The following is a 9,055-nucleotide window of genomic DNA, read 5'->3' as shown; positions in this document are numbered from 1 at the left end:
TGAGCTGAGATCATGCCACTGCACTCCAGCCTGCACGACAGAGAGAGACCTTGTCTCAAAAAAAAAAAAAAAAACTGAAAATATGGAAGCAACTTTGGAACTGGGTAATGTGCAGAGGTTAGAAGAGTTTTGAGGGCTCTCAAAGACAGGAAGATGTGGGAAAGTTTGACCTTCCTAGAGACATGTTGAATGGTTATGACAAAAATGCTGATAGTGTTATGGACAATGAAGTCCAGCCTGAGGAGGTCTCAGATGGAGAAGAAGAACTTATTGGGAATTAGATTAAAGGTCACTTTTGCTATGCTTTAGCACAAAGTCTGGCTGCATTGGGCCTGTGCTCTAGGGATCTGTGGAACTTTGAACTTGAGAGTGATTATTTAGGATATCTGGCAGAAGAAATTTCTAAGCAGCAAAACATTCAAGATGTGACCTGGCTGCTTCTAACAAACAATTGCTCATATATATGAGCAAAGAAATGACCTAAAACTTGAACTTATATTTAAAAGGGAAGTAGAGCATAAAAGTTTGGAAAATTTGCAGCCTGGCCATGTAGTAGAAAGAAAAGCCCGTTTTCAGGAGAGGAATTCAAGCAGGCTGCAGAAATTTACATAAGTAAGGAACCAAGTACTAATATCCAATACAATGGGGAAAAGGCCCCAAAGACATTTCAAAGACCTTTGCAGCAGCCCCTCCCATCACAGGCTCAGAAGCCTGGGAGGGAAGAAGGGTTTCATGGACTAAACCCAGGGCCCCACTGCCCCGTGCAGCCTCAGTGCACTGCTCCCTACATCTCAGCCACTCCAGCTCCAGCTGTGGCTCAAAGGGGCCCAGGTACAGCTTGGGCTGCTTCTTCAGAGGGTGCAGGCTGGAAGCCTTGGCAGCTTCTGTGTGGCAGTAAGCTTGCTCTGAGTGCAAGAGTTGAGGCTTGGGAGCCTCTACCTAGATTTCAGAGAATACGGAATAGCCTGGATGTCCAAGAGGAGGCCTGCTGCAGCGGTGGAGCCTTTATGGAGGACCTCTACCAGGGTAGTGCAGAGGGGAAATGTGAGGTTGAAGCCCCCACACAGAGTCCCCACTGGTGCACTGCCTAGTGGAGCGGTGAGAAGGGGATCACCATCCTGTAGACCCTGGAATGAGAGATCTACCAGTAGCTTGCATCCTGTACCTGGAAAAGTCACAGGCACTCAATTCCCCAATTAAAATGGCGACTTCAGTGATCTCAAATACTATTGCTTGCACTTTGGTTATTTCAAATAACCTGTTATTTGAGAGCAGCTGCAGGTACTGAACCCTGAAAAGCTGCACGGGTGGAGCTGCCCAAGGCCTTGGGAGCCCATCCCTTGCATCAGTGTGCCCCAGATGTGGGATATGGAGTCAAAGGAGATTACTTTGGAGCTTTAAGATTTAATAACTTCTCTGCTGAGTTTTGGACTTGTGTGGGGCCTGTAACCCCTTTCTTTTGACTAATTTCTCCCTTTTGGAATGGCAGTATTTACCCAATACCTGTATCCCCTTTTTATTTTGTGATTAACTAACTTGTTTTATGGGCTCATAGGCAGAAGGGACTTGCCTTGCCTTAGATGAGACTTTGGATTTTGGACTTTTGAGTTAATGCTGGAATGAATTAAGGTTTTGGGGACTGTTGGGAAGGCATAATTATATTTTGAAATGTGAGAAGGACATGAGATTCAGGAGGGGCCAAGGGCAGAATAATATGGTCTGGATCAGTGTTCCCACCCAAATCTCATGTCGAATTGTAACCCCCAATGCTGAAGGTGGGGTCTGGTGGGAGGTGACTGGATCATGGGGGTGAATTTCCCCCTTTGGTGCTGTTCTCATGATAGAGTTTTCATGAGATCTGATTGTCTAAAAGTGTGTGGCGCCTCTACCCTCTCTCTGTCTTTCTCCTGCTCTGGCCATGTGAAGTGTTGGCTCCCCCTTTGCCTTCTGCCATGATTGGAAGCTTCCTCAGGCCTCCCCAGAAACAGAAGCTAATTCGCATCCTGTACAGCCTTTGGAACTCTTAAGTAATGAAACTTCTTTCTTTATAAATTATCTAGTCTCAGATATTTCTTTATAGCAATGTGAGAATGGACTAATATAGGGAAGGAAAGTATAAAAGAATGAGGAAGTAAATAAAGGAAAAGTGGAGAGAAACAGTAGGATTCCCTCTCCATTCTTTATCAGAATCAGATGATAATTACAGCTTCACTTGAAGTTAATTTCATTAAATTGTGAAATTGAACAGTTTGCAGACACTCACATAACATTTATATCAGTAGTTCTCAAACATTAATAAGTGAAGAAGTCCCTTTTAGCCCAGGAATCTGTACTTTAAACAAACTCTCCAGATAACCCTGGAGCGAGTGGTCCTTGAACCACCCTTTGAGAAAGAAACACTGTATTCCCTTAGTGTCTCATTTTTTATTCATTCAGCCAATGAGTGTTTATCAAGGCCTATTATGTGTCTGGCACTGTGTTGGAATATGAAGAAACAGTGATGAATAGGTTGGGTAAAATCTCCACTTCTGTGAAGCTTGTACCTGAGTGGGGAATCCATGCAAAGGCATTCTGAAATAAATAGAACAGGCAAAAGTCTATTTTACTAATCAGGAAACTGTGATTCAAAGAGGGACTCTTCTGGCTCCAATTCAAAGCCTTTCTGAATAAACAAACAAAACAACTTACAAATATATAAGCATAAAATATACTTTAAGAACCTACTTTCTTTGTTCCCATTCCAACCATTTTCCTTTGAAAGAAAGGGAATGAATGGGCACAGGGCTTTTAATTGTTGCTCACAAAAAGTGCCATGACTGTGATTTTCATCATGGTGCTGCCCCTCAGGTCGATGGTTCAGAAATACAGGAGCATGAGTAATCTTCCTTCATTTGGTTACTTCGTGATTACAGGCATTCTGGCTCTGATGCCCTGGTCTCCCACTTGCTAGCTATGTGATCTTGAACAAGTTACATAACCTCCCTGATATTATGAACCCAAAAATATCCGAGGCCGGTCTCAATTAACTTAGAAAGTTGTTTTGCTAAGGTTAAGGACATGCCCTTGACACTGCCTCAGGAGGTCCTGATGACCTGTGTCCAAGGTGGTTTGGTCACAGCTTGGTTTTATACAGTTTAGGAGACATGAGGCATCAGTCAATACGTGTAAGACATACATTGGTTTGGCCCAGAAAGTCAAGACAACTTGAAGTGGGGGCTTCTAGTAGGTAGATAAGAGACAAAAAGTTGCATTCTTTTGGGTCTTTTACAGCCTTTCATTGAAGACACAACTCACATGTGAGTGGGGGTAGAGGAACTTATGCCTTAGTCTGACTCAGTGAATCTGCATTTTTACATAAGCAGTAGGGCAGAAGAAGCAATTGGATATGCATTTGTCTCAGGTGAGCAGAGGAATGACCTTGATTCTGTGTGTCCTTTGTACTCCATCTGTGAAGATAAGCTATCAATTTACATAGCCAAGGTGAAATTCAACAGAATTGGTTTAAGGTGAAGGTCTTGAGGCCCACAAGAAATCGCCTGTTGGCAAATTGTGAGGGAGATATGTAGCTTTTAAAGCAATCTTTGTAACTATCTTATCTTGGAACTAAAATAGGAGGCAGGTTTGCCTGATGCAGTTCCCAGCTTGACTTTTCCTTTTGGCTTCATGATTTTGGGGTCCTGAGATTTATTTCCCTTTCACAATATGGTCTTCTCTTCTGTAAAATGGTAATAAAATTAGTACCTGCCTAATAAGATTAAAATCAGTTAATTCATGTAAAATGTTAAACGCAGATTCTGGTATAATAAGTGTCCCATAAGTCTTAGCATCTGTTGTAATTGTTTATATTGTTAGTCTAAAAGTCCTTTAAATGAGTTTCCTATGGAAGTCCCGCAGTGTCTGTGAGGACTCTCCCTGGAGACTATTCCTTAGAGATGCATTATTTTCTTCCACTTAATATGTCTGCACTGGCACCTGCTTCGCACCCAGTGAGGTGCTAGGTGCTGTGAAAGGTATTGCCGTCAGGAACCTCACAATCTGCTGGTAGAGGTAGATGCCTACACAACAGACCATTCTATACAGCAGAATAATGGCAGTGCTAGGAAAAGGTAATGCAGGGCTGTGAAGGGATAGAAAGGCTGGGGTGGTAGAGAGGGCTCCATAGTAGAGGTGCCACTTGAACTGGAGAACGAAGGAAGAAAAACAGGCAAAGGACATTCCACGCCAGGGATTTAGGCCTTGCTTTACAGAGAAAATGAGAGGTTTTTAAAAATGGCCCCAGAACATTAAAAGTGTACTTTCAGACAATAATGCTGGTCACATTAAGGAATGGTTGGAATGGATTTTAGTTTTCTGTGCTAGTCCATCTCTTATTGATCCTAAGTGTCACAAAGTCTGGGAGAGGTGAAAGAACACAGCATCTTTGAGAAATAACTAACAGTTTATTGCACTATCAAAGGTTGAGCTGTGTGGAAAAAGGGGGTAGGAGACAAGGCTGGAGGGCTAGTCTGGGATCCATAGAAAAGCAGGCTCAGGAATCAACTTTCTTCTGAGGGCAGAGAAGCTATTGGTAGAAGGAGGGGTGGATGTCCCCTGACTCCTCTCTGATGGTATGCTCCACATACACTTAGACATTTGCACAAATACATTAAGTAGTCTTAGATTTTTAGAAAATCTATTTCAGAGCCATGAAGTTAAGGCTAGAACACAGAAGGTTTCAGATTCCATGCTGAAAAGTTTGCACTTTATTCTGCAGAATGAAATAAAAGTTTCATAAGAAGAGTCACGTGTACCATGGTGGATGCTGCCGGTGCCTCACTCAGGCCCCTTTAGTATTTGTGTACCCATTCCCAGGTGCTGTGAGTGTTGATGTGTCAGGCCTGCATCACTTCTCTGAAAAATGGGAGCCTTTCCAGGACAGGCCTCAGCCAACGACCATTGTGCAAAGGGCTACTTCCCTTGCCTCAGGGTGGGACTGACTATGGGTGATTTGTGCTCCTGTGGGATTGGCTCTGACTGAGCTTTTCCCCTCTGACTTATTCTACTTCTTTTACTTTCCTTCTCCCAGGTGCACTCCCCCTAGTAAATCCCCAGAATGAGAATCCCATCTGAGATTTGGCTTCTAGGGATCTTGACCTAAGTAAGCCATGTGCTAACCTGTTTTAGTAGATACTAACTCTAGAAGCCACCTACAGGGAAAATTGAAGACAGAGATTGAAAGCCTCATTTTCTTCAAACTATAGTAGGAGTTTTTAATGATGATTTATCCATCCATATTCCCTATGCTGAATCATTATTTAGCTTTTGATGTCCATTTTCATCTCTCCTGACAGTCTTGGTATTTGTTTTACCATAGGCAGTACCTTTCATGATGCCTGTAAAAAGCAGTGAAACAGAAATTCCCCTGGTTTTCTTTGGGCATACTTCTGAGAATTTTAACATTTCTCTAAGATATAAATAAGCAAAAACCTCCCATTTGCCTGTAGGTGGGTGTCTGAAAGACATAAACTTCAGTAAGCCAGCTTGTTCTTGTTGACAACCTGAATCTAATTATGCACACGCAAGCACACCCACAAACATCCAACCTTCGTCAGCCTAACATTCTGGTGCAGCGTTGATAAATATTTGTGTTTAATGGCACTTAAGGGGAGCATTTTGATTTCTAAACATTGGCTGGTGAGTAATGATTTTGCCAAGAGCACAGCAAGAATTTTGCAATCTTGACTATTCCTAGGCTTTTGATGACATACAATTACTCCACACTGCATAATGGAGTTGAGAGAAATTCTTTAAAGAACTTGTCACGAGGGAATACTTTCATCAAGAATAAGGGTGGGAACACCAAATGAATTTCAAGGCAGTGCATTTTCACATTTTAACCACCATTCTTTTCACCTTTTGACATATGACTCTTCTGAAGGGCTCTGTTTCTGCAATGGGGCAAAAGGAGCAATGATGGGCTCAGTCCTTGTTCCTATCTGCCAGGTTTTAGAAAAGCACCCACTTTTCAGTTGAACAGACCTAGGGATGAATCCCTAATTGTTGTGTGAGCTTGGAGGTGTCTTCAGTTTTGAGCAAGGGGGCAGAATTGTGAACTGGGAAAGGGTAAGATCCTATAGAGGCAGGTATACAGGGCTCCATTGACTGTGTCACTTTGGGTGAAATAGTTTTCACCTTAGGGCCTCCATTTGTATTAATCTAACATGAGAATTGTAACACCTTGCTGTAGTCAGGGTTGTAGTGAGGAGTAACTGAGATGACATGTGTAAACTAGTATAACACGGTTCACAGAGAGAACATTGGACAAGTGTGGGCTCTTCTCTAGGTGCCAGGTTGAGAGTCAAGCTCTCCAACTCCACATCACTTCGAGTCACAGGGGCACAAGGGAAGCCTGCAATGTCATCGAAAGGCCCTGGCCAGGGAGACTGGGAGGCTGCTTCTGGTCTCTCTCACTTCCATTTATGTGTTGTGGATTTGACAGACATTGTGCCTTCTATGTGTCTTCCTTTGTATTTAGCCTTCAATCGTTTGTATTTATTCTTCAATACCTTTGCCTTCTGAACCATTTACTTGTCCTTGAGTACTGGCTATGTTACTGAAGTTTTATTTTTAGAAGCATATGTTTTATTTTAGAAGTATATGTCTTAACTCTCCAACCAGGACATCAACTGCTTGAGGTTAGAGACTAATCATATTCATCTCTGCATCTACCCCATCTACCCCACCCCCATCCAGTTCATAAAATGCACCCAGCACACATTGACTGTTAAGTAAATATTGATCGATAGATGGTTTTTGGCCAGTTTGTGAATTAGGCCCTTGATTTAGAATATAAGGTATTTGTTGATATTATTTATCTTCATTTAACAGTTATTTCTTGTGTACTGGTTTAGGCACTGGGAAAATAGTGGTGAATATGATAGAAAAGTTCCCTGTCCTCAATGAGCATTTTAGTGAGGAAGAGACAATTATCAAGTGTGGAAGAGAACAGGTAGCGATAAGTGTTATGATGGGAATAACTCAAGGTGCTTTGCAGCAGTGGTAAGAGAAGTTAATAGGGTGGCCAGAGACAGCCTCTATGAGGAAGTCAAACATAAGCTGAGCTGCAGATGACCAGTGGGAACCAGCCATGCAGAGATACACAGAAAGAATGTTTCAGAATGATGGAACAGCTCGGGCTAAAATCCTCAGACAAATGCTCATGCAAATGTCCTAGTTCATCAAGTTAGGGGACCAGAAAGAATGCAGATGGGAGGGAAAGCACAGTGGGGACTGTGGTTGAGGATCAGGTTTCTAAGTACTTAAGCACATGAAATGATCCACTCTCAACACACGGCACTGTCATTCTGACTTAGTGGCTCGGTGCTTTTGCTTTTCAACATTCAGCAGGCAGCACTATTTTGACATTCTCTTGTTCTACATTGAGAAGAAATAGCCCCAAATTTCTTATGATTTCTTCCCTTTAGTAAAGTAATTTACGAGCCATACTCACTGCTAAATTTGCTTTTCTTCCCTGCACTTACCTACTTCAGAATTTCCAAAATTTTCAGAAAGAATGATGAAAAGGATGCTAAGTTGTCACTGATCTACTTATTTACAGTTTTTTTGGGTTTTTTGTTGTTGTTGTTGTTTGTTTGTTTGTTTGAGACAGAGTTTCGCTCTTTCACCCAGGCTGGAGTGAGGTGGCATGATCTCGGCTCACTGCAACCTCTGTCCCCCAGGTTCAAGCGATTCTCCTGCCTCAGCCTCCCGAGTAGTTGGGATTATAGGCACCTGCCACCACACCTGGCTAATTTTTGTATTTTTAGTAGAGACAGGGTTTCACCACTTTGGCCAGGTCTCGAACTCCTGACCTCAGGTGATTCACCTGCCTTGGCCTCCCAAAGTCCTAGGATTACAGGTGTGAGCCACCTTGCCTGGCTTATTTACACATTCATTTGTTCTTTATCTACTTTCCCAAAAGATTTGTGGCTGCCTATGTTAAAAAGCACAGATTATCTATATCGATACCTATATATAAATATATCTATATCTACATTTAAATCAAACAATTTAAACAAAATATTATGACAAACCAAGTCATACCACAGCCTATGCTGATGGGATGGTGAGGAGCTGCACGCTGTGCCAGAGAAGGTAATGGAGGGGCACAGCCAAGCTGCCAGGCAGCCGGTACAACAACTTCCCACAGCCCACAATGTACTCACAGTTTTGAGTTTCATTCCAGTTATGGAATGAGACTGTGAGGCCTCAGGCAGCTCACCTCCCTTCTGGGCCTCAATTTCATCTGAGAAATGAGGGAGTTACTAGGTAAGAAGACTAAATCTGTGGGCTTGTCTAGCTTTAACATTTTGTGTTAAATTTTGTGTTTAACACTCTAGTTGTGGCTTGAGCCACAGACTGGCCAGAGTGGAATTGCCAGGTAGGAAAGGGTACTTGGAAGGGGTCAGTCCTGCTGCAGGAGAAGACAAGGTGTTCCAAAAAGGCCTGCTCACTCTTTAAATGGCATAGTGTAGTGGTTAAAAGCCTACATTCTGACAGGTGGACTCCCTCAGTTTGCATCCTTTGTTCAGTTACCAAGTTTTTCTTTGCATCTTTATGTCATAGGGCTTGTCTTAGTCTTTTCAGGCTGCTATAGCAAAATACCACACTACTGAGTGGCTTATATACAACAGAAACTTATTTCTCCGAGTTCTGGAGGCTGGAAAGTTCAAGAACAAGGCACTGGCTGGTTTGGTGTCTGGCAAGGCCTGCTTCCTGGTTCACAGATGGCCATCTGAGATTGGAGTAAACACAAAATGTTTCTTCTCTGCTCTTACGCCACAACAATCAACACAGAAGACTTATGTGACTAAATGTTTAGGGATTTTCTCTCTACCATCAAGCAAGCATTCAATTCTGTAGTGGATGCCAGCTGGGTGTCTTATTCAATTCAATTCAATTCAGTTCTTACACTATCTACCTGCAGGGCTATCTACTGAGCCCTTTCAAGTTGAAGGCTCAGTCCCCAAGACTGTCCCCTACTTTTTTTTTTTTTTTTTTTTTTTTTTTTGAGGTG

The 9,055-nt window shown here is 42.5% G+C and overlaps 1 annotated feature.

Annotated features, from left to right (window-relative positions):
• Nucleotides 336–835: an enhancer, noted in NCBI's record as "H3K4me1 hESC enhancer chr3:187352529-187353028 (GRCh37/hg19 assembly coordinates)". NCBI's record gives its function as "activates a minimal SCP1, AML or CMV promoter by ChIP-STARR-seq in primed H9 embryonic stem cells {active_cell/tissue: H9 hESC(primed)}" and the evidence as "EXISTENCE:reporter gene assay evidence [ECO:0000049][PMID:30033119]".

This window comes from Homo sapiens, chromosome 3 (genome assembly GCF_000001405.40).
Source record: "Homo sapiens chromosome 3, GRCh38.p14 Primary Assembly".
In the NCBI taxonomy this organism is placed as follows: domain Eukaryota; kingdom Metazoa; phylum Chordata; class Mammalia; order Primates; family Hominidae; genus Homo; species Homo sapiens.
The sequence above is the reverse complement of the archived record's forward strand: the minus strand, read 5'-3'. Positions and strand labels throughout refer to the sequence as shown.